This window comes from Homo sapiens, chromosome 8 (assembly GCF_000001405.40).
Source record: "Homo sapiens chromosome 8, GRCh38.p14 Primary Assembly".
Lineage (NCBI taxonomy): Eukaryota > Metazoa > Chordata > Mammalia > Primates > Hominidae > Homo > Homo sapiens.
Window position 1 is genome coordinate 61,108,300 of NC_000008.11, and position 24,697 is coordinate 61,132,996.

A 24,697-nucleotide genomic window follows, 5' to 3' on the forward strand; every position below is an offset into this window, starting at 1 on the left:
GTTGCAAATATATGGTAACAGCTAGGTTTCCCTTGTACAATGAAATGAGTGATGTTTAATAGGCACTTTTCTATGCCATTCATTATTGTTGACAACTAGTCGATTTTGCAATTCTGGTATCCAAAAGCTCTAAATGGCTCCATAGATCTCTGTTTTAATCTATTCCAATCTCTGTTTCACTCTTTTTCTATATGTATATACACCCTGAGATAATATGTGCATCCTTAACTACACTTGGAAGGAAGGATGAAAGAGACATATATTATTATGTAATACTTCCATGGGTAAGCCTAAGTCAGTCTGTTAGGGCTTCCAAGAGATCTCTTAAGACCCAACCACGCTAAATATGAATACTAATCCAAGGGTTGGTATTTCATCCTGACTTTATTGTTTCTTCCAGTTACAAACTTCTCACTCAAAGTTTCACTCATATTTATATCCCCCTCTATCTGTGATTACAAAGCTTAGCCCTAAGTCTGGTTTTAACATTTCAGAAGGATCTCTTTTCTTTACTGAGACAGACAGCCCCACTGAGTCAGGGGCCTGAGGGTATTCTCAGTTCAGCCCTCATGTTTAAGATTGTGCTCTGTTGGTTCTAAGTCACATTGCCTTAAGCAGGACAACAGCTTTCCCTGCAAGCAACAGAGAGCATTTTACTTGGCCAGATGCCAGATGGAGGGAAAGGGGTGAGGAGGGATTTTTCCCATCCCCGTTGGGATTCACATATATAATTTTCTACTTGGAGTTTCTCACACTTGACTAAATGCTGGCTGAGGAGCTGGTGTGATCGGGGAGAGGGATTTGAGGGGTTCCATTTGGAGGGGCTTGTAGAGGCTGCTATGCATTCTGGCTGGGGTTGGGGTCATACTCGTATCCACATTCTGCTTCTTCCAGTTACTTCTGTGTGCACTTCCTTTTTTTTTCATTTGCAATGTAAGGAAAATATTACTCTTAAACAGTTGTTCCAAAGTCTAAATGAAGTAATTTCCATCAAAGGCCCTGGCACCTGTGAACTGTTGGAGCAGATGGTGTTGAGGTCCCACTTAGGGTCACCAAATTTAGCACCTAAAAATCCAGCACACCCGGTTAAATCAGAATTTCAGATGAAGGACAAATGCTTTTTAGCTATAATACAATACATAAATATAACCAAATATATTACACAATAGAATATATAATAACATAAATATTTATAAATTTAAATACTTCAGTATAAATATTGCTTTGGGCATATTTATACTAAAAAATTATTTGTTGGTCATCTGAAGTTCAAATTCAGTTCAAATGGCAACTGTAGCTGCTATGGTTTGCATGTGCCCTCCAAAACTCAGGTAGAAACTTAATCCCCAAAGGGTCAGTGTTGAGAGGTGGGGCTCTGAAGAGGCGATTGGATCATGAGGGCTCTGCCTTCATGAATGAATGAATCTATTCATGGATTAATGGATTACGGGTTAAGGGATTAATGGTTTATCATGGGAGAGGAACTGGTGGTTTTATAAGAAGAGGAGGAGAGGCCTGAGATAGTACGTTAGCACTCTCAGCTCCCTCACTGTGAGATGCCCTGCACTGCCCCAGGACTCCACAGACAATCCCCACCAGCAAGAAGATGCGCCCCATCAACCTTGGACTTCCTAGGCTCCAGGACTGTAAGAAATAAATTTCATTTCTTATAAATTACCCAGTGCCAGGTAGTTTATGAAACAGAAAACAGACTAAGACATTAGCCTCACTTCATCCCCTCCTCTGGGCCTGTGCGCTGACTCCCAGCTGCCCTGAGCGTTGGCTGCTAATGGTGCACGGTTGCCCCCTTCTATTGAGGCCTTGGCTGAATCGGAGCTGTCTCACTTGGGAAATTAATCCCCCTCCCACCACCAGTGGGGTCGGCCTGTAACCCTGACTGCCTGGCAGGTGCAGAAAACATTGGCTGCCTTTTCTCAAGTAGGGGTAAATTCTGTGTGCTGTTAGGGAGCTGCCCTGACAACCCAGGCTGTAGCTAGACTCCAGACAAGACCACATCCTGCCAGAATTCTTCCCTTGCTCTCTCCCTTCCCTCTCTTCCTTTTTGAGACGGCTTCCTCAATTATTCCATGGAATCCTCATCTCCAGTTTTGTCTTAGATTGAAACCTAGTCTAAGGCAGCAATCCATGAATGTGGATTTTCCCCCTTTCCTATGATTAAGACATTGTGAAGATCTTTTAAAAAGTGGGATTTAAAAAAAAAAGTTTTTTAATTTAATTGTGGTAAAAACTATGCAACATAAAATGTACCATCTTAACCACTTCTGAATGTACAGATCAGTAGTAAGTATATTCACACTGTTGTGCAACCAAAGTCTAGTGTAGAACTTTTTCACCTTGCAAAACTGACACTCTGTACCCACTAAACTACAGATCTCCATTTCCTGCCTCCCCTACCCCCTGGCAACCACCACTCTACCTTCTGTCTCGAGAAATTTGACTACTTGAATTATCTCACATAACTAGAATCATACAGTATTAGTCTTTTCGTGACTGGCTTATTTCACTTACCATAATGTCCTCAATGTTCATCCATGTTGTAGTCAGAATTTCCTTCCTTTTTAAGATGGAATAATATTACCTTGCATGTGTAGACCACATTTTGTATACCTATACATCTGGTGATGGATATTTGGGTTGTTTCTACTTCTTGGCTATTGTGGATAATGTTGCTATGAATATGGTATGCAACTATCTCTTTAAGATCCACTTTCTCATTTTTTGTGTATATACCCAGAGATTGGATTGCTGGATCGTATGGTAACTAAATGTTTAATTTTTTGAGGAACCTTCATACTGTTTGCAGTAGTGGAATACAGTAGGGATTCCTGAAAAAAGTAGGAATTCCTGAAAAAATGCAATGACGCTTAAGAGAGTGTTTTCAGATATTGATATACGGCTTTCACTGTGCAAAATATTAGAAAATTCACAAACATAAAAAATCAAACTATTTTATCAGATTATGAGTCCCCTTTTAAATGACAGTTGATTGCAAAAACAAGATGGTCTTCTTCCTCCAAAAGGAGGAAGAGAAGGGTGTCATTTTCCCAAAATGATGAGTCAATATTTTCTTTGGTATCTTCTTGGTTTGTACTTTTGGTACAGGCTGACATGCTAAATTATCCTTCAGATTTGGGACAAAATAATTGGGAATGGAAAGGAAACTGAAATCAGCATCAATTTGTGATTTAATCTTTCACATTTAAACTTTAATTCAATTGAAACTTATTTTAGTTAGCAAGTAGTTCCATCTATATTTATGGATCATTTCCATATTGGTTGGGATGCTATCTCTATCACATATTTGTTTAAATGTGGGCCTCTTTCTGGTCTTCTGTTCTGTAAATCTTTCTGCCTAGCTCTCTGCTATTAGTATACTGTTTAAATTTCTGTGGCTTTAAAACATATTTTGAATATAGGAGAACAAGGCTTTCTTTATTACCCTTCTTTAAAAAAATTGGCTATTATATAGTCCTTCTATCAAAAAGTTCATCATTTTTATAGATTTTAAAATATTTCATTGAAATTTTAATTGAAGTTGTATTAAATTTATAGAGTTTTGCAGAAAATTGGCATTTAATTTTTCCAGAAGATCTCTCCAATTCACAGTCTTCTTTTAATAATCTTCTTTTAGTAAACTTCAGCAAAGTTTTTTTCAAATCGGTACTGTAGAATTCTTGTTGAATATCCCCTAAGTATTTAATTTTTGTTTGCTAAACAAAGGAATATGAATAGTTAACTAAAGTTGTGAATAAGATCTTTTATTTCAAATGACTGTTGCAGGGAAGCAAAAGAAATAAGCATGATCTGCATTCCCACCACCTATCATAATCGCTGTTATTATTTTAAAGTTCTCCGTGCTACACACACACACACACACACACACACACACACACACACACGCACAGAGACAGAGAGAGAGAGAGGTTCATATTATTTTCCTCTGACCATATGTAAAGTTATAGAATAAGGCCTACTTGATCATGGTGTATTAGTCTCACTAATGTACGCTACATTAAATTTGCTGACATTTAATGTAAAATTTCATGTATTTCTACTGTAGATGAGGCCATTTCTATTGGCCTATCATTTTCTCTCCTTTTCAGCATTTCTAAGATTTTGTATCAGAGCTCTGCTATGTTGATCAGATAATTGTGAAACTTTCCACATTTTTACAAGTTTGGAATAATTCAATAGGCAGCGAGATTACTTTTTCCTTAAAGATTTGAAATAATTAGCCAATTAAAGCCTGTAAGTGAATACTGGATATGTATTTTTATAAGAGATTAGAAGTAAGGTACTTGTTGCCTCACTATTCCAGTAGATGTAGAGCAGAGATCAGTAAGATAGATTCTAAAAGGTCTGAGAGGAGGAGCCTTGATTGAACCTCAGACTGGAGAAGCAAAAGGACCTGTAAGCTTCAGGATTGGGTTTGGGTCCTTGTGCCACCAGCAGATGACATTGCTCTTCTCTGTAGTTTCCTTTTTTTTTAGTCTGTAAAATAAAGATTTTATTCCAATCTGTAAAAGATTGGAACAATCATGCCAATCTTCAAATAAGTGATAAATGAATCAGCTATTTTTGCAGGAACCTCTGGGAAGCTCTGAACACATGTGGAAAGTTTTCGATGCTTGGTGCAGACAGTACTGCAATTTGGGAGGATATCTCCTCCCAACTATCACTTCTGCATTGACTGCTGTATTGCTATGGCATCTGGAGCATTGGAAACTGTGGGACAGGAGGCGGCCCTCACTGTGGTTATCTACAGAGGCAGCCTGAGGGTCCCTATGTGAGAAGCAGAACTGCAGAGAAACAAGGTGGGCACTCCTGGTGACTGAGCTGGTAATTTGGCCCTTGGGCACATGGGGACATCAGTGGGGACTTTCAGAAATACATGGGGCGGGGAGTTGTGGGGTGATGCAGGGTAATGGAAGTTTTTGAGAACAGCAGCGCAAAAATAGAAAATTGGGTTAATGTTGTAAAAGTGACCTGCTATAAACCCACAGGCTGCTGAGTCCTAGAGAATGTCCAGATGAAACAAGCATCATGTTTTGAGTGGTGCAGATGGGTCCAACCACATGGGGAGCAAAAGGAAGGAAGATACTAGTTACCAACCTAGTTACTTTTGAGGTGTGTGGTGGTGAGCAGAGCCATGTGGGAGAAGCCTGCTTTAGACCTGAACTTGGTAATACATCTGCAGGAAGCTGGCTTCTTGTTGCATTATCCAGGAAGTAACCCAGCTGCCCATAGTTCACTCCTTCTATGCAAAAGAGGCAAAAGACTGAAAAACAAGTTGGACCCAGGGAAGTTTTTCAAGAATGCAAGTTTCAGGGTTAGCAGCCATGCCATGCAGTGTCACCTGGAAAGGATGGCTCTGCTTACGGCACCTGCACTGACACCCGCCCATCAGTCCTATCCTACCCTGGGTCCTGGCTGGTAAGTTAGCCAGGTGTGGTGAGTGTGTGCCACCATGCCCAGCTAATTAATATTTTTTTGTAGAGACGGGGTGCCACTGTGTTGCCCAGGCTGGTCTCAAATCCCTGGCTCAGGCAACCCTCCTCTTGCCTTGGCCTCCCAAAGTCTTGGGATTGCAGGCTGAGCCACTGCACCTGGCCCTGGGTATATTCTTTACATCAGACGACAGCTGACTTTTGTGCAAAGGGCCAGGTAGTAAATACTTTAGGCCTTGTGGCCCTGTATCAACTACTCAACTCTGTCCTTGTCTTGCAAAAGCAACCACAGATGATATGTAAATGAATGATAATGGCTGTGTTCTAGTAAAACTTTATTATGGACATTGAAATTTGAATTTCAGATAGTTTTCATGTTGTGAAATATTATTCTTCTTGTGTTTCTTTCAATCATTTAAAATGCAAAAATCATCCTTAGTTTTCAGGCTTTACAACAGGTGGCAGACTATAGTTGCTTTACTCATACAAAAGATTCACTTGCTTTACTAAGTCCCTTGGTGGGTCAATCCCACCCATAGATATAAAACTAAACAGCAAAGGATCTTGATGAAAATTCAGTAAAGCATCATCTACAGCAAATTGCCCAGAAAACCCTAAAAATTTTGAGCTAGCTAGTCTTCTAGACAAATGCTCTCAGGTAGTGACTTTAACAGAAACGATGTAATGAAAGACCAGATTCCTAGATAAAACCACTCTTGCCTTTAATGGTTCAAAAGAAGAAAGTACAACTACACTATCAGTAGTTTATTATACTGACAAATTAATGTTTATCATCCAGCTAGCTGCTACACTACATTTCTTCCCCTTTGAGCAAGATGGTGAAGCTATCACCTAGTACATCATTCTGAGTTTAAAAAAACATCATTGCAAGTGAAACAGGTATTTACCAAGAGTTCTAGAATGGCCAGAAGAATTCTTGATATATTAAATATCTTATAAACATCTAATGAAAGTGAATAGAAATCTTTATTTTAGCCTTCTCAAATCTCAGGTTTCATCTTTTGTTTCTATACTTACATTCTCAAGTCACTGAGTACATACTACTCTCCTTCTATTTTTTTGAAAACCCAAACAAAACAAATATAACAACAAAAAGCTTCCAGTGTCTTCATGTTAGTATAAGATGGCACTGGAAGATCAGAAAAAGCTCTTGAAGCTCTGAGAAGTACCATACAATTTTCTGCGTTGTCATTTTCAATCACTGAAGGTGCATAGAAGCTGGACTTTTGTAAGTTCCAAAAGTGATTGTATAACTTTTTCCCCAGCAGACATTTTTTGAGCCATCTCTTTGTAGAGGGGACATTAAAGCATAGTGTTCAAGGGCAAAAATTTTAGCAAGACAGAGCCCTAGGCTCAAAATTCAGTTCTGCTACTTACCACATACAACTTTGGACAAATTGCTCTAAATCATAGTATTCTCATGAGCAAAACAAAGCTGATAATAACCATTTCTCACTGTTATTGTGAAACAAAATGAGATATTGTATGCAAGGCATTTAGTACAATGTCTAGCAAATAGTAAGGATTTAAAAAAATGGCAACTCTTATTTTTTTTATTTTATTTTTATTTTTATTTTTATTTATTTATTTATTTATTTTTATTATACTTTAAGTTTTAGGGTACATGTGCACATTGTGCAGGTTAGTTACATATGTATACAAGTGCCATGCTGGTGCACTGCACCCACTAACTCGTCATCTAGCATTAGGTATATCTCCCCATGCTATCCCTCCCCACTCCCCCGACCCCACAACAGTCCCCAGTGTGATATTCCCCTTCCTGTGTCCATGTGTTCTCATTGTTCAATTCCCACCTATGAGTGAGAATATGCGGTGTTTGGTTTTTTGTTCTTGCGATAGTGTACTGAGAATGATGTTTTCCAATTTCATCCATGTCCCTACAAAGGACATGAACTCATCATTTTTTATGGCTGCATAGTATTCCATGGTGTATATGTGCCACATTTTCTTAATCCAGTCTATCAGTGTTGGACATTTGGGTTGGTTCCAAGTCTTTGCTATGGTGAATAATGCCGCAATAAACATACGTGTGCATGTGTCTTTATAGCAGCATGATTTATAGTCCTTTGGGTATATACCCAGTAATGGGATGGCTGGGTCAAATGGTATTTCCAGTTCTAGATCCCTGAGGAATCGCCACACTGACTTCCACAATGGTTGAACTAGTTTACAGTCCCACCAACAGTGTAAAAGTGTTCCTATTTCTCCACATCCTCTCCAGCACCTGTTGTTTCCTGACTTTTTAATGATCACCATTCTAACTGGTGTGAGATGGTATCTCATTGTGGTTTTGATTTGCATTTCTCTGATGGCCAGTGATGATGAGCATTTTTTCATGTGTTTTTGGCTGCATAAATGTCTTCTTTTGAGAAGTGTCTGTTCATGTCCTTTGCCCACTTTTTGATGGGGTTGTTTGTTTTTTTCTTGTAAATTTGTTTGAGTTCATTGTAGATTCTGGATATTAGCCCTTTGTCAGATGAGTAGGTTGCGAAAATTTTCTCCCATTTGGTTGCCTGTTCACTCTGATGGTGGTTTCTTTTGCTGTGCAGAAGCTCTTTAGTTTAATTAGATCCCATTTGTCAATTTTGGCTTTTGTTGCCATTGCTTTTGGCGTTTTAGACAGGAAGTCCTTGCCCATGCCTATGTTCTGAAAGGTAATGCCTAGGTTTTCTTCTAGGGTTTTTATGGTTTTAGGTCTAACATTTAAGTCTTTAATCCATCTTGAATTGATTTTTGTATAAGGTGTAACAAAGGGATCCAGTTTTAGCTTTCTACATATGGCTAGCCAATTTTCCCAGCACCATTTATTAAATAGGGAATCCTTTCCCCATTGCTTGTTTTTCTCAGGTTTGTCAAAGATCAGATAGTTGTAGATATGCGGCGTTATTTCTGAGGGCTCTGTTCTGTTCCATTGATCTATATCTCTGTTTTGGTACCAGTACCATGCTGTTTTGGTTACTGTAGCCTTGTAGTATAGTTTGAAGTCAGGTAGTGTGATGCCTCCAGCTTTGTTCTTTTGGCTTAGGATTGACTTGGCGATGCGGGCTCTTTTTTGGTTCCATATGAACTTTAAAGTAGTTTTTTCCAATTCTGTGAAGAAAGGCATTGGTAGCTTGATGGGGATGGCATTGAATCTGTAAATCACCTTGGGCAGTATGGCCATTTTCACAATATTGATTCTTCCTACCCATGAGCATGGAATGTTCTTCCATTTGTTTGTATCCTCTTTTATTTCCTTGAGCAGTGGTTTGTAGTTCTCCTTGAAGAGGTCCTTCACATCCCTTGTAAGTTGGATTCCTAGGTATTTGATTCTCTTTGAAGCAATTGTGAATGGGAGTTCACTCATGATTTGGCTCTCTGTTTGTCTGTTGTTGGTGTATAAGAATGCTTGTGATTTTTGTACATTGATTTTGTATCCTGAGACTTTGCTGAAGTTGCTTATCAGCTTAAGGAGATTTTGGGCTGAGACAATGGGGTTTTCTAGATATACAATCATGTCATCTGCAAACAGGGACAATTTGACTTCCTCTTTTCCTAATTGAATACCCTTTATTTCCTTCTCCTGCCTAATTGCCCTGGCCAGAACTTTCAACACTATGTTGAATAGGAGTGGTGAGAGAGGGCATCCCTGTCTTGCGCCAGTTTTCAAAGGGAATGCTTCCAGTTTTTGCCCATTCAGTATGATATTGGCTGTGGGTTTGTCATAGATAGCTCTTATTATTTTGAAATACATCCCATCAATACCTAATTTATTGAGAGTTTTTAGCATGAAGGGTTGTTGAATTTTGTCAAAGGCTTTTTCTGCATCTATTGAGATAATCATGTGGTTTTTGTCTTTGGCTCTGTTTATATGCTGGATTAGATTTATTGATTTGCGTATATTGAACCAGCCTTGCATCCCAGGGATGAAGCCCACTTGATCATGGTGGATAAGCTTTTTGATGTGCTGCTGGATTCGGAGTGCCAGTATTTTATTGAGGATTTTTGCATCAATGTTCATCAAGGATATTGGTCTAAAATTCTCTTTTTTTGTTGTGTCTCTGCCTGGCTTTGGTATCAGAATGATGCTGGCTTCATAAAATGAGTTAGGGAGGATTCCCTCTTTTTCTATTGATTGGAATAGTTTCAGAAGGAATGGTACCAGTTCCTCCTTGTACCTCTGGTAGACTTCGGCTGTGAATCCATCTGGTCCTGGACTCTTTTTGGTTGGTAAGCTATGGATTATTGCCACAATTTCAGATCCTGTTATTGGTCTATTCAGAGATTCAACTTCTTCCTGGTTTAGTCTTGGGAGAGTGTATGTGTCGAGGAATTTATCCATTTCTTCTAGATTTTCTAGTTTATTTGCGTAGAGGTGTTTGTAGTATTCTCTGATGGTAGTTGGTATTTCTGTGGGATCGGTGGTGATATCCCCTTTATCATTTTTTATTGCGTCTATTAGATTCTTCTCTCTTTTTTTCTTTATTAGTCTTGCTAGCGGTCTATCAGTTTTGTTGATCCTTTCAAAACACCAGCTCCTGGGTTCATTAATTTTTTGAAGGGTTTTTTGTGTCTCTATTTCCTTCAGTTCTGCTCTGATCTTAGTTATTTCTTGCCTTCTGCTAGCTTTTGAATGTGTTTGCTCTGCTTTTCTAGTTCTTTTAATTGTGATGTTAGGGTGTCAATTTTGCATCTTTCCTGCTTTCTCTTGTGGGCATTTAGTGCTATAAATTTCCCTCTACACACTGCTTTGAATGCGTCCCAGAGATTCTGGTATGTTGTGTCTTTGTTCTCATTGGTTTCAAAGAACATCTTTATTTCTGCCTTCATTTCGTTATGTACCCAGTAGTCATTCAGGAGCAGGTTGTTCAGTTTCCATGGAGTTGAGCGGTTTTGAGTGAGATTCTTAATCCTGAGTTCTAGTTTGATTGCACTGTGGTCTGAGAGATAGTTTGTTATAATTTCTGTTCTTTTATATTTGCTGAGGAGAGCTTTACTTCCAACTATGTGGTCAGTTTTGGAAGAGGTGTGGTGTGGTGCTGAAAAAAATGTATATTCTGTTGATTTGGGGTGGAGAGTTCTGTGGATGTCTATTAGGTCCGCTTGGTGCAGAGCTGAGTTCAATTCCTGGGTATCCTTGTTGACTTTCTGTCTCGTTGATCTGTCTAATGTTGACAGTGGGGTGTTAAAGTCTCCCATTATTAATGTGTGGGAGTCTAAGTCTCTTTGCAGATCACTCAGGACTTGCTTTATGAATTTGGGTGCTCCTGTATTGGGTGCATATATATTTAGGATAGTTAGCTCTTCTTGTTGAATTGATCCCTTTACCATTATGTAATGGCCTTCTTTGTCTCTTTTGATCTTTGTTGGTTTAAAGTCTCTTTTATCAGAGACTAGGATGGCAACCCCTGCCTTTATTTGTTTTCCATTTGCTTGGTAGATCTTCCTCCATCCTTTTATTTTGAGCCTATGTGTGTCTCTGCACGTGAGATGGGTTTCCTGAATACAGCACACTGATGGGTCTTGACTCTTTATCCCATTTGCCAGTCTGTGTCTTTTAATTGGAGCATTTAGTCCATTTACATTTAAAGTTAATATTGTTATGTGTGAATTTGATCCTGTCATTATGATGTTAGCTGGTTATTTTGCTCGTTAGTTGATGCAGTTTCTTCCTAGTCTCGATGGTCTTTACATTTTGGCATGATTTTGCAGCGGCTGGTACTGGTTGTTCCTTTCCATGTTTAGCGCTTCCTTCAGGAGCTCTTTTAGGGCAGGCCTGGTGGTGACAAAATCTCTCAGCATTTGCTTGTCTGTAAAGTATTTGATTTCTCCTTCGCTTATGAAGCTTAGTTTGGCTGGATATGAAATTCTGGGTTGAAAATTCTTGTCTTTAAGAATGTTGAATATTGGCCCCCACTCTCTTCTGGCTTGTAGGGTTTCTGCTGAGAGATCCGCTGTTAGTCTGATGGGCTTCCCTTTGAGGGTAACCCGACCTTTCTCTCTGGCTGCCCTTAACATTTTTTCCTTCATTTCAACTTTGGTGAATCTGACAATTATGTGTCTTGGAGTTGCTCTTCTCGAGGAGTATCTTTGTGGCGTTCTCTGTATTTCCTGAATTTGAATGTTGGCCTGCCTTGCTAGATTGGGGAAGTTCTCCTGGATAATATCCTGCAGAGTGTTTTCCAACTTGGTTCCATTCTCCCCATCACTTTCAGGTACACCAATCAGACGTAGATTTGGTCTTTTCACATAGTTCCATATTTCTTGCAGGCTTTGCTCGTTTCTTTTTATTCTTTTTTCTCTAAACTTCCCTTCTCGCTTCATTTCATTCATTTCATCTTCCATCGCTGATACCCTTTCTTCCAGTTGATCGCATCGGCTCCTGAGGCTTCTGCATTCTTCACGTAGTTCTCGAGCCTTGGTTTTCAGCTCCATCAGCTCCTTTAAGCACTTGTCTGTATTGGTTATTCTAGTTATACATTCTTCTAAATTTTTTTCAAAGTTTTCAACTTCTTTGCCTTTGGTTTGAATGTCCTCCCGTAGCTCAGAGTAATTTGATCGTCTGAAGCCTTCTTCTCTCAGCTCGTCAAAGTCATTCTCCATCCAGCTTTGTTCCGTTGCTGGTGAGGAACTGCGTTCCTTTGGAGGAGGAGAGGCGCTCTGCATTTTAGAGTTTCCAGTTTTTCTGTTCTGTTTTTTCCCCATCTTTGTGGTTTTATCTACTTTTGGTCTTTGATGATGGTGATGTACAGATGGGTTTTTGGTGTGGATGTCCTTTGTGTTTGTTAGTTTTCCTTCTAACAGACAGGACCCTCAGCTGCAGGTCTGTTGGAATACCCTGCCGTGTGAGGTGTCAGTCTGCCCCTGCTGGGGGGTGCCTCCCAGTTAGGCTGCTCAGGGGTCAGGGGTCAGGGACCCACTTGAGGAGGCAGTCTGCCCGTTCTCAGATCTCCAGCTGCGTGCTGGGAGAACCACTGCTCTCTTCAAAGCTGTCAGAGAGGGACATTTAAGTCTGCAGAGGTTACTGCTGTCTTTTTGTTTGTCTGTGCCCTGCCCCCAGAGGTGGAGCCTACAGAGGCAGGCAGGCCTCCTTGATCTGTGGTAGGCTCCACCCATTTCCAGCTTCCTGGCTGCTTTGTTTACCTAAGCAAGCCTGGGCAATGGCGGGTGCCCCTCCCCCAGCCTCGCTGCCGCCTTGTAGTTTGATCTCAGACTGCTGTGCTAGCAATCAGCGAGACTCCGTGGGCGTAGGACCCTCCAAGCCAGGTGCGGGGTATAATCTCGTGGTGCGCCGTTTTTTAAGCCCGTGGGAAAAGCGCAGTATTCGGGTGGGAGTGACCCGATTTTCCAGGTGCCGTCAGTCACCCCTTTCTTTGACTCGGAAAGGGAACTCCCTGACCCCTTGCGCTTCCAAAGTGAGGCAATGCCTCGCCCTGCTTCGGCTCGCTCACGGTGCGCGCACCCACTGACCTGCACCCACTGTCTGGCACTCCCTAGTGAGATGAACCCGGTACCTCAGATGGAAATGCAGAAATCACCGTCTTCTGCGTCGCTCACGCTGGGAGCTGTAGACCAGAGCTGTTCCTATTCGGCCATCTTGGCTCCTTATTCACCGGCAACTCTTATTTTTTCAACTATTGGATTTACTCTGTGTGTGTGTTTGTGTGTGTGTGTATGTGAATGCGTGTATCTGTTTGCGTGTATTGGAATATATTCCAGGAAGAATCATTGAAACATGTTTGTCTTGTGACACTCACAGATGGATATAAAAATGTTCTGGGAAATAAAATTATCATACAGAATTTGTGTCTCAATCCATCAGGTTTTTGCAGAAGAATCAAATTCTGAGTGAACAGATATTGTGGCCTGTGAAATCAAAGAGAGATGCTGAACATTTCAAGTATGTTCTTTGCTGACTGTCAAAGCAAAGTATACACAAAAACAGCAGGACAGTTCATAACAGAAACACACCCACACACACACAGACATTAATGCAGTTGGATGTACATTCTATGGCTCACACTTGCTTAAGATAGCACAGAATAGAAATTCTCGAAAGAGTCCTAGAGGAATAAAAAGCTGCATGAATGTGTGAAAACTATTCATATTGGAAGTGTTTCCTTCGAGAAAAAAAGTGCCAGCAAAATAAAGACCCTGAAATACAACAGGAGGACTCAACACAGTGGGAGGTAAAGAATTAGAATCCACTGGCGCATTACAATACCTGTAGATTAAACACCACCACCACTGGATTTGGTGAACATTTCTTCTGGATTTAACTATAAAACCCCCAGAAGGATCTAAAGCCACTTTCTTCAGCAATATCTGGATCTGTTGGTAGACACAACTTACAGAAATGACCCAGGTAAAAGCAGCTGATTTAGTTACTCTCAAGCTGCCTCTGCTTATAAGTACAGAGCAAGATAAGAAGAAAGAAAGACTATAATACAGATACTGGTACATTTTTGTCATATGCTTCTGCAACCATAAACTTTTTGGATGCAGGACCCGGTAGTAACTACATAAATAATGTTATTGCTGAGCAGGATAGTAAATAATTCAAGCCTCATACTCAGGATCCTTACAATTGTTGCAAAATTCAGATTATTTCCAGGTACTCGGGCCAGGGATATAGATTGCCAGGAAATCTGTCAAACACATCTTTCTGGTGACCTACTGGCAAGTCTTTGCAATCTCAGCTTTTGGCTCACCTTACTTTATGCTGAATCCTATTTATCAATGTCCTACAACGTGTGAATGACATCAGCCTATATTAAGAAAACACACACACACACACACACACACACACACACACACACACACAAGAAAACAGCAAGCAAGAAGTGAAAGACTACACAAAAGTGTGAAGTTAATCATTTGACTTTTCAGAGCATCATGAAAGTGATAAATCATTAACACCAGAGGAGGCTGCAACTGCCCAGGGGTTAGTTCAGAAAAGAAACAGGTGTGGATAATACCAAAAGACCAAGGTGCTTTTGACCAGCTTCAATCCTTTCCCAGCTCTCTGGCTCCTTTGCTGAAAAAGGACACTCAACTCTGACGGCTTCAAGTACAGAAAATGTGATTTTCTGCGTTCACTCTTAATGTTCGTGGTTTCTTCAGTTTTCATGTTTCTGCATGCTTTTTATAAACTGGTAAAAACAAAAGAGTTATCTACTGCTTTAAAAAGTCTCATAGTGGCCAGGCACGGTGGCTCACACCTGTAATCCCAGCACTTTGGGAGGCCAAGGCAGGTGGATCACCTGAGGTCGGGAGTTCAAGACCAGCCTGACCAGCATGGAGAAAACCCATCTCTACTAAAGATACAAAATTAGCCGGGGGTGGTGGTACATGCCTGTAATCCCAGCTACTCAGGAGGCTGAGGCAGGAGAATCACTTGAACTCGGGAGGCGGAGGTTGCGCTGAGCCGAGATCGCACCATTGCACTCCAGCCTGGGAAACAAGAGTGAAACTCTGTCTCAAAATAATAATAATAATAATAATAATAAAAGTCTCATAGTTTATATCTCCCTTTCTAGAAAACAACACAACATTTATAAGTCAATTCAATCAGTAACGTTGTGGCTATTTTAAGTTACTCTTTCCTGATTTAGAGTAAAACATTTTATGACCTGGGGAAAAAGAAGTTATAAATACGTTTGTATGCTACTAAGCTAAAAATTATATGTGGTAAACATAGTTCAAATTGTTCTCCAAATTTTCCTTTTAATCAAGAATGTTTTGGAGAAAATTTTAAAATCCTAATTTTTTCCCCAAGGTTTCAAAATAACTATAAATATTTTTTTCTTCATTATTAACTTAGTAGGAAACTTTGCTCCAAAAATTTGGGGAGGGACTCACCAATGTATGCTATGCTGATTTGGGTCATTCTTTTGTGGAGTTTTGTACATTTCAGGTCAGTCGGTGTGCATGGACTAAAGCCTGTGGAGGAATGGCCTTGTGGAATGGAGGTGACCCCTGCTCACTCAGCCAGGCTGGCATTGGCTTCCACTGGGCTTCAAACCCTGTGTTTACTCTGCAGTCCAGCATTTTCTTTGCAACAGTCTGATCATCAAAGCAGACAAAAAGAGAGTTGGAGCATGGCGAGGAGGATGCTATTGCTTCTTTCCTTTCTTTTAGTACCAAACATAAATAGAAGCAAGACAGGACTTCAGTTTGATTCTTAAAGAAGGGTTTAAAATGTTTTGTTCTTGCACAACAAAGGCACAGAGACAAAAAGACTCCTACTTTCAAAGCAAAATTTATCTATCTTAAAAAAAAGAAATGGATGAAAATCAATCATTTTAAAATTTGCTGAAACTTTAGTAAGTTACCCATGGTTTTGGAAATGAGCAGATCACTGTTCCTGTGTGATTATACTTCATGTTCAAATCCTTGCAAAAGAACAACACTGCAAAATCCAGTGTGGTTGAGTTTTAAAACCACGAGTCGAATTAAAGCGAGGAATATATATAACCAAACAATGACACTTAGGAGGTCTGAAAAAAATAAGCAAACTACTTCATATGAGATTCCAGGATTTGTTACTGAACAAGATGAATAGTTTCCAAAGTGGTCAACTTGTTTGACTGGACTTGATTGCATTTTTGTGTTTTAAAGCTGGTTCATACCTGTCCAGGCAAGGCCGTCATTTCTTAGAAACAGAGCACGCTATTGTTTTATGCTGATCAATGTTTTTTTTATTTTTAGTAGCTCCTGTGTCTTGTCCCCTCTCTAGTTGATCTGATCTATTTTCTTGACTATTTACTAAACCACAATGTATTATCGTTGTTCCTTCAGACCCTTTAATGAAAGCCCCAGACTTTGGTACTTACTGGCTTGTAACCTTGCAGAAGTCACTTATGGCTGATGAGCCTCAAACTCCTCATCTGGGAGATGGCAGTGCATCCATCCACTCATTCCTTTAAAAATTGTGAATGTCTCCTAGATGTGGGGCATTGGGTGCAGAAAGACAAAGACAAATCAGACCTAGTCCTTGCTGTCATGGGTTTTGCTGTAATGGAGAGACACCCACGTAAATGCCATAAACGTCCTGAAGTGTGATCAGTGCCTCATGTGCCAGTGAGGGTGGGATGGTGTGATCAGGTCTACTTTGGGGTAAGAGGAGTGGGAAACATCAGCACAGGTGAGAGAGGAGAGTGAGACATGTTGTAAAAGCACTTGGCTCATAATGGTAGCCAACAATCATGAGCATTTCCTATGGGCTGGGTACTGGGCTGAGTGCTTGAGAGACATTTCATCCTGTCTCTCTAGTTCACCTCTTTGGTAGTTACTCTTATTATCTAAATTGATAAGGAAATTGAGGCCTTCCGAGATGACACACTTTGCTCAAGGATACACTCAAAATGACAATCTCAAGGTTCTACCCCAGGCATTAGAACCCCAGAACCCTCCTGTTTAACCACTAAACCATGCAGCCTTCCCCTTTCCTCGCTTTGGTTGCAGAAGCACCAAGTATTTGTTTGTGTCCTCCATGGCGCAGCAGTGCTCACAGCTATGGATGGTTTGGGGGTCAGGGGGAAGGCTCTGTGGGAGAGCAGGACAGGTTGTGGGGGGCTAGGTGCAGAGAGCTGAACAAAGCAGCTTTACCCATAAGGGGTTACTCAAAACTAAAACAAAAACTAAAAAAAGACATAAGTTCAGTTCCTCATTTTGGTCTTTCTCTTCCAGATAATATTTCTTTTCTCACTTAGCTCAAACTGACTGAAAAAGACATTGGTGATTCCCAACACCTTTAAAACCCAAGATCAAAGGAACAGTAGGTCCCACAATAGATGCAAATGGACTCTCATACTTGGGGGATTTAAAATAAACAGCCAGGCAACAAACTTTCAACTATTGTTTAAATTCAGTCCAAAGGGATTTTCTAATCTGAAGAACTCCACTGTTTTATTTCAGGGTCAGAGCAAGTTCCCACTTAGTACACAGAAAGGTTTTCTATGAGGGAATTTTAAAAAGACATATGCAAATATACCAGAGAGATTAATAGGACGGCATAGCTATGAGACACACAAAATGAAATACAATGACACATAATGTATTTTAGTTTGATTTTTCAATATTATATAAATGCTCTTAATTCATATTAAAACAACAATTAACGGAAAACAGCCTCGTTGGTTTGATAAACGGAATAGAGCCTTTTTTAAGGACATTTTTTTTTTTCTGATTCCAAATGTAATATAGTTGATTGTGGAAGAATGACAAATGCATGATAAATATACAAAGAAATGGAAGTCACCCCTTTGACTCTAGGCTCTCTAAGCTCTACTTACAGCCCCACTGTGAGCCTTCTGGAGGTATGCCCTGCCACTCTTGTGACTACTATAGCACATTCTCACTTCTCTCTTCTCTTTACACACATATGCACACACACACATGCATGCACACACACACTGTCTGACTCTCGGTCCAGCTACCTCATGGCCTGACCTGTCCTCCCACCCAGCTCTCACCCCATCTCCCATACCAGCCACAATTGTGGGTGCCACTGCACTGTGGAGAAAGCAGACATGTACTGAGTGCGTCTGCTACCAAATCAAAGAAAGCGGAAGGCAACTGGGTTTGGTGGTTAACCATCAGGGTCTGGGGTTCCATTGCCTGGGTTAGCATCTTGCCTGGCACGTAGTAAATGGTCAATAAATGCTTGCTATTGTTACAACTAGATTTAGTATATACATTATTGTTTCACAAAATTGGGCTTATAAATTGTATAGTTTTGTATCCAATGGAACTGATAATATTAAAGAAGCTTTAAAGTAAAATAATAAGGCAAGTTATACTAATCAGTCTTTGCATTGTAAGAGGCAGAAACCCAACTCAAACTACCTTAAGCACCAAGGATTTGTTGACTCATTGTATTTAAAGTCCGGGAAAATTTCTCTTCTTTGCACAGCTGAATCCAAGTGTTCAAACAGTGTTGTCATGTTCACTCTCCTTCCTCTCATTTCTCAGCTCAGCTTGTTTCTGTGTCTTTTGTTTGCATGTTGGACTTATTCTCTCCTGCTTTACACAACCTCTCTCTACATTGCTGACAAATCTTGGATTGACATGATCCAAAAAGAGAAAAAATGGTATTCCCTTAAGTAGCACAGAAGACTCTAACCCAGCTTGAGTCAAATATCCATCGTCAACCAATTTCTGTGTTTCTGATGTTCCTCAATTGGCCTGGGTCTTTTACCTTCCTGCAGTGTGAGATGGGGCTGCTCATGGTCTTGGAAGGGGCACAGTGACTTTCCCACAGTATAGGAATTTTCCAAAGGAACCAAAAAGCGTGAGTTAGTAACTGTGCTGGGTAAACATAAAGCTTTAGCAATCAGAGTTGTCATTCTTAGTTTTTAACAAGATATGGAATCAACTTTGAATTAAGCCTCAGAATTGCTTCTTGGCCTTTGGCTGAGATCAAGCTTTTTTTTTTTTTTTGAGATGGAGTTTCGCTCTTGTTGCCCAGGCTGGAGTGAAATGATGTGATCTCAGCTCACTGAAACCTCTTGCTTCCGGGTTGAAGCCATTCTTCTGCCTCAGCCTCCTGAGTAGAGTAGCTGGGATTACAGGTGTGCGCCACCATGCTGGGCTAATTTTGTATTTTTAGTAGAGACGAGGTTTCACCATGTTGGTCAGGCTGGTCTATGAACTCCTGACCTCAGGTAATCCATCCGCCTTGGCCTCCCAAAGTGCTGGGATTACAGACATGAGCCACTGGTGCCCAGCCTCAAGCATTTTTTTAAGCCTCAGAAAAAAAGTACCTATACAGTGGGGAAAAACAACATAATTTTATATGTACAGTACATTTTTAACTGGAATATGCCTGATTTCTTAGGAAGTATTGTACAGATATTTGGTAACACACTGAGTATTTTGAGCTGAATTGATTAACTGATAAGATATATCTTTGAATATATATATTTTTCTTTCATCACATATTCCAGTTGGATATTCATTTTCAAACAGCACCCTTGCAAAGTCTAGACAGATATTCCCTCTCCTCATTCTTTTTTCTAGGTACACAGTCTGTCTATAAACCATGTAAGACAAATACTACTAGCATTCTATTTTGCAGAATTAACTCTCATTATTGGAGAACCATTCCAATTAGTAGTTAAGATGACAGACACCTGCTCTTCAGGCGACTGCCAGCAGGGCTAAAAGGCAATGCTTGTTGGATGGATTTTAAAAACACAGAGATGATGTTGAAAGCAACCATAGTGGGTAAAAATGGTTATTTTGAAAACTCATTAACCAGCTGCCATGGAGTGTTCAGTTGATTGATTTTACTATTTTTTAAACATGACTTTTGATGTCAGCATAGCCAAATATCTGAGTTTTTGAGTTCTTTCTGTATGTGACCATGTAAATCTAATATCTCTAAAGCTATTTTCCAGTCATGATACCAAGACTTATGCATAAGTACATCCAATCTGAAAGTTACTGTGATCTCACTTGTTTCCAGGAAGTCCCTGCAGCAAGGAGGGGTAAGGCCTAAATTGCTCCAGTCATGTGGGTTATGTTTTACTTTTCATCATCATTTGGATGCTTTCAAATATATTACCTCAGACTCTTTGACAGTCAGAACTGGCCACAGATGGGTCTATTCAGTTGATCTTCATCACCTATGCTTTTTCTGGAATTTTTTTCTCCATGTGTAGGGTTCCTTTCTTTACATCTTTTTCTTTCTAACAATCGTTTTATCTTACTGCAAGCTCCTGCAATGAGAAGCCCTGATTTGATAAGTCATGTAACATGGCATGAAATCCAGGGTCCAGGGGAGAGCAGGACACAGGGGCCACCAAGTGTGACATCAGTCCCTGTGCTCTTTCATCCTACCCTGGTGCTTCTCAGCCTGGTTCAATGCTTGGGTCAGGTTTGACATTCAATACGTGAAGGTACCTCTCCATGTGAAGATGCCTTTGCATTTTTGCAGTATGTCTCTTGCTTTTCATTCTCAGCCCTGCCCCCTGAAAACTGTGTTGCTGGTTTAGACACTTCTTATATCAAGGCTCTCCATCTACCTGTTTTCTTACTGTCACAAGAGTGGATCTGATCTCAGTTTGTTTTGGGAATAGAGATAAACTTACAGTCTTAGAGTTTCTTTTCTCACTCTTTAGAGTGATTCCACTGTTCCCCCTACTGCATAGTGTTTCTCTCCTGTTATTGGAATTCTTAATGCTTTAGTGAGTGATTTCTTTTTTATTGCATTTGATACTGTTCCAGCATGGTGTTCACCGAGTCTTATTTCCACACTGAGAAGATCTCATTTCAGAAGCACATCAGGTTTCCTTAGAACATCAACCCTCAGCTGATTCACTGTTGCAAGGTACACCACAGTCGCACAAAGAGATGGAATTGTCTGTAGCTAAATGGAACTATGTGAAGAGTAACTCATGGTTGCTGTTGGCTAGATAATTTAACAGTGATTTATCACATTATCTGTTTTGGAGAAAGAAAGGCAGAGTGGAAACTTTTCCTGTGGTTGAGTGAAGTTTGTCTGCTTAGGTTGTGTAGTGATTAGAGTACACTGATTTGGGCACCTGCTGTGCAGCTATGAAGTAGAGCTCCTGGTTCTCTGTGTAGTGCTACCAGAGGGATGGTCAGGCTTCCCCATGGGCTAAACCTGCATTTACTGCTTCTTCTTTAAATCTGTCTTTTTTCAAAATGTAAACATGTAGGAGTATCTTTCTTAGTCCATTTGGGCTGCTATAACTAACTGCTATAGTCTAGATAGCTTATAAACAACAGAGATTTATTTATTTATTTTTATTTCTAGAGGCTGGGAAGTCCAAGATCAAGGAATTGACAGATTCTGTGTCCAATAAGGCCACTTTCTGGTTCATAGATGGTGTCTTCTTGCTGTGTCCTTGCATGGTGGAAGGGAAGACCAAGCTCCCTGAGGCCTCTTTTATGAGGGCACTAATCCCATCAGTGAAGGCTTTGCCCTGTGATCTGGCTACCTTTTAATGGCCCCATCTCTTAGTATCATCACCTTGGAGGTTAACTTTACCTCTCAGTGACATGGGTGTCAAAGAATTTGCAGACATATTTTAAAAGCAGCACACCTCTCTAAGACAATGTTAATATATTCTTTAGATTTGAATCTAAAGGCATGCCTTGTTTCTGTAATCCTGATTGATCAATTGATTCAAGAGTTAAGGCCAGGTGTGGTGGCTCATGCCTGTAATCCCAGCACTTTGGGAGGCTGAGGAAGGTGGATCACTTGAGGCCAGGAGTTTGAGACTAGCCTGGCTAACATGGTGAAACCCCATCTCTACTAAAAATACAAAAATTAGCCAGGTGTGATGGCACGTGCCTGTAGTCCCAGCTACTTGGGAGGCTGAGGCAGGAGAATTGCTTGAGCCTGGGAGGTGGAGGTTGCAGTGAGCTGAAATCATGCCACTGCACTCTAGCGTGGGAGACAGAGTGAGACTCTGTCTCAAAAAATAAATAAATAAATAAATAAATAAATAAATAAATATAAAAATAATTTAAAAAAAGGAGTTAAAAAGCACACATCTACTGTAAAGTTCCACCACAGGTCAATATATTCCGTGACATCTCCTGAGCAGTATGGAGCCCTTGTGCATACCACATTGACCCAATTCATGCCAAGCATTTTATGGACAGTTAATAAAGAGACAAAATGAATGAATGGATATATAACGAATTAGTTCACCTATCTGTCATCACTCAAAAGAGCTTTTAAGCCAGACAGATTAGAAGCCAACAGAATGAATTATAACTTGGTATCTTGGGTGAGAAAATATGTTTCTAAAATATAATTAGAATAACATTTGTTTTGCTTTGTTTTGTTTTGTTTTGTTTGTACATATAATTTAGTTAAAAGGCATATATTCAAATAATTGACTGATTTAGTGACAGAAGGCAAATGTTTTCTGAAGAGTATTAAGAGGCTTCCAGTCACATGTTTGAAATGTACAGATGATAGTAACCCCACACCCCTCTACTGTTGGTGGAAAAAACACTGGGTGGGCTCAGAAAGCTGGAAGATTGCTGCCAGAGGCTCCTTAGGGCTTCCCTGGACCCCTTTCTTTCACTACAAAATTGATGCCAGTGCAGAGGCCTAAGATAGTTCTAAAATTCCAGACTCATCAACTCATAAAAATATCACTAATCATTCATACAGTGAGGCAGGATTTTAGAGGAGTATTTGGTTTGAGCCCCCATTTTAGACATGGATGTCACGGGCTCTTTTCTACTTCGAGGTTATTTTTCTATGTGCTCATCTGCATATCTGGAGATAGTTCTACACGAGGATCATGTGCCTGAGCCTCAGTGGCTGGTCACCACCCTAATGTGAGCCTCTTACCAGCCAACATTGTCCCCTAGGGAGACTCTTCCCTATGCCCTGGGTAGGACATTATCACTGAAACCATGGATTCACAAAGGATTTTGAGACAAAAGATGTCTGCCCTGAGCACATATGCATTTTAGGAATGAGGAGAATGGATTCAAGACAGAGAAAAGATGACTGGAGTGGGTCAGATGTAAGGTGATGAAGGTGCGAATTATGCAGTGGTTATGCAGGTGAAAATTAATGCACATATATGAAGAGTTTGCGGAGTCAATTGGCAAATTATATGAACTGCTTGGGGCTGAGGGACAATATTGGGCTGGGAGTACATTGTGTTTGAGCGTTTCTGTCTGTGTAGTGGGAGTGTGACTCACTGAAAGGTGAGGAAGGACGGGCCTTTGGCTGGAAGGTAGGGAAGAAAAGGGAACTGGGAGAAGTTGTTCTTGGTTATTACACAGGAAAACATGACCCCCAAAACTTTGTTGCTGGCAGAGAAGAAATATTGCTTAGCAAAGGGCATTTACTTAATGCAAAGAACTTCCTTTTCTAGGGGCCAGTTTTTTTTTTTTTCTTTAACCATCGCTACTCAAGTAATAAGATTTAAGTGAGTGCTGTTTTTTAAAATCCAGACTTTTTTTTTTCTTTTTAATTCAAGGGCCTAATCAAGGGAATGGAAGATGAGGAGAATGAAGGCTCTGGGAATTTATTTTCATCGTGGACCGGACTTTTTATCAGCCAGGAAAAAGGTGAGTAAATATGACCTGGTGTTTTTGAAAACTGCATAAACTTCAGTGCTCGGGGATTTCCTGAAGCTGGCTATTAATGGAGGCTCTTCCCCTAACACTCAGGAGACCTGTGGGTATGGGAAGGGGCCATTGGATTGCCACAGCGACTGGGTGGGGTGCCTCTGGCACTTCCTGGGAGGTCATCAAGGGTGCCAAGTGAGCCACGGTACATGGACACTCACACATAAAAGTCTTAAAGGCTGGTACCTCTCACAAAATGCCAATAGCACCTGCTCAGAGAAACAACGAGGCTGGACCTGCAAAATGAGCTTGCACCAAGGGCTCTGTGATTCCTTAACTTTAAGCTCAACCCTAAACTGACCGAGTCTTGTTGCCTGAGGTCTCTTTGGGAGGGAGCCCACAGGCTGAGCCGGGATCAGCTGCTGGTGGTGAAAACCGATGCTGGGGTTGCGGCAGGGGAATCCTGGAGATGAGGGGGCACAGGAGCTGTGCATGCCAGGCCTGGCGGGAAAGGCTTTTCCAGAAAGCACCCGGGGCTGGAGAGACATAGTCCTGGGGACAACGCGGGCTGAGGCTTTGGGCAGGAGGTTCTACTGTGGCTGAATGCTGAGACTGGCTGAATGGGGCAGGCTTCAGGGTCTGTCAGATACCTGCCCCCAAGAAGCAGTTCCATAAAAGAGAAAAGAGAATCCCTGTCTTTTGTCCTTCTTTCCATCACAGATGTCAGCATCTGATGGCATTTCCCCTTCTGTGTGGCACAGTTCAGGGCTATTTGTTGGGTTTTACTAGAGAACAGCCTGTCTCCTGGGATTCTGTAGTGACGAGGCTTCCGCATGAAGCTTCAGATGTTCTAAAAAGCGGGATGCAGGGCCCAGTGAGCTGCAGAGTGATGAAGTGGGGGAAGTTCCCCAGTGTCGCTGCTGGGACACAATGCCTGACTCCCGTAAGTAAAGCAACACTACAGGGGTGGCTTAGGATGCACGCAGCCTGCCATTAGTGGAGGGGGCATTTGGTTTCCCCTAAAAGGGATGAGGTACCATCATTGCTGCTCTGTGCCAGGTGTGGGAGGAAGCTTTTGTGGGGTGGGCCTCACAGGGTCTGGCCTGGAGGCCTGAGCAGCTCTAGTCTTTTCATGG

General features: G+C 40.9%; 1 protein-coding gene across 2 annotated transcripts in view, besides 5 other annotated features; it reads left to right on the top strand.

Annotated features, from left to right (window-relative positions):
• The window catches only part of CLVS1 (clavesin 1), a 536,782-nt gene that overhangs the window by 143,452 nt on the left and 368,633 nt on the right, over positions 1-24,697 (top strand). For both annotated transcript variants that reach the window (XM_024447079.2, XM_017013141.2), the window contains one exon: positions 23,471-23,561. The gene's annotated coding sequence lies outside the window, so the exon portion shown is untranslated. The remainder of the gene's footprint in view (positions 1-23,470; positions 23,562-24,697) is intronic.
• Positions 12,157-12,788: an enhancer, noted in NCBI's record as "NANOG-H3K27ac-H3K4me1 hESC enhancer chr8:62033015-62033646 (GRCh37/hg19 assembly coordinates)". NCBI's record gives its function as "activates a minimal SCP1, AML or CMV promoter by ChIP-STARR-seq in naive H9 embryonic stem cells {active_cell/tissue: H9 hESC(naive)}" and the evidence as "EXISTENCE:reporter gene assay evidence [ECO:0000049][PMID:30033119]".
• Positions 14,500-14,669: an enhancer, noted in NCBI's record as "active region_27440". NCBI's record gives its function as "activates an Ori minimal core promoter by ATAC-STARR-seq in GM12878 lymphoblastoid cells {active_cell/tissue: GM12878}" and the evidence as "EXISTENCE:reporter gene assay evidence [ECO:0000049][PMID:35858748]".
• Positions 16,787-16,836: an enhancer, noted in NCBI's record as "active region_27441". NCBI's record gives its function as "activates an Ori minimal core promoter by ATAC-STARR-seq in GM12878 lymphoblastoid cells {active_cell/tissue: GM12878}" and the evidence as "EXISTENCE:reporter gene assay evidence [ECO:0000049][PMID:35858748]".
• Positions 16,857-16,906: an enhancer, noted in NCBI's record as "active region_27442". NCBI's record gives its function as "activates an Ori minimal core promoter by ATAC-STARR-seq in GM12878 lymphoblastoid cells {active_cell/tissue: GM12878}" and the evidence as "EXISTENCE:reporter gene assay evidence [ECO:0000049][PMID:35858748]".
• Positions 17,247-17,426: an enhancer, noted in NCBI's record as "active region_27443". NCBI's record gives its function as "activates an Ori minimal core promoter by ATAC-STARR-seq in GM12878 lymphoblastoid cells {active_cell/tissue: GM12878}" and the evidence as "EXISTENCE:reporter gene assay evidence [ECO:0000049][PMID:35858748]".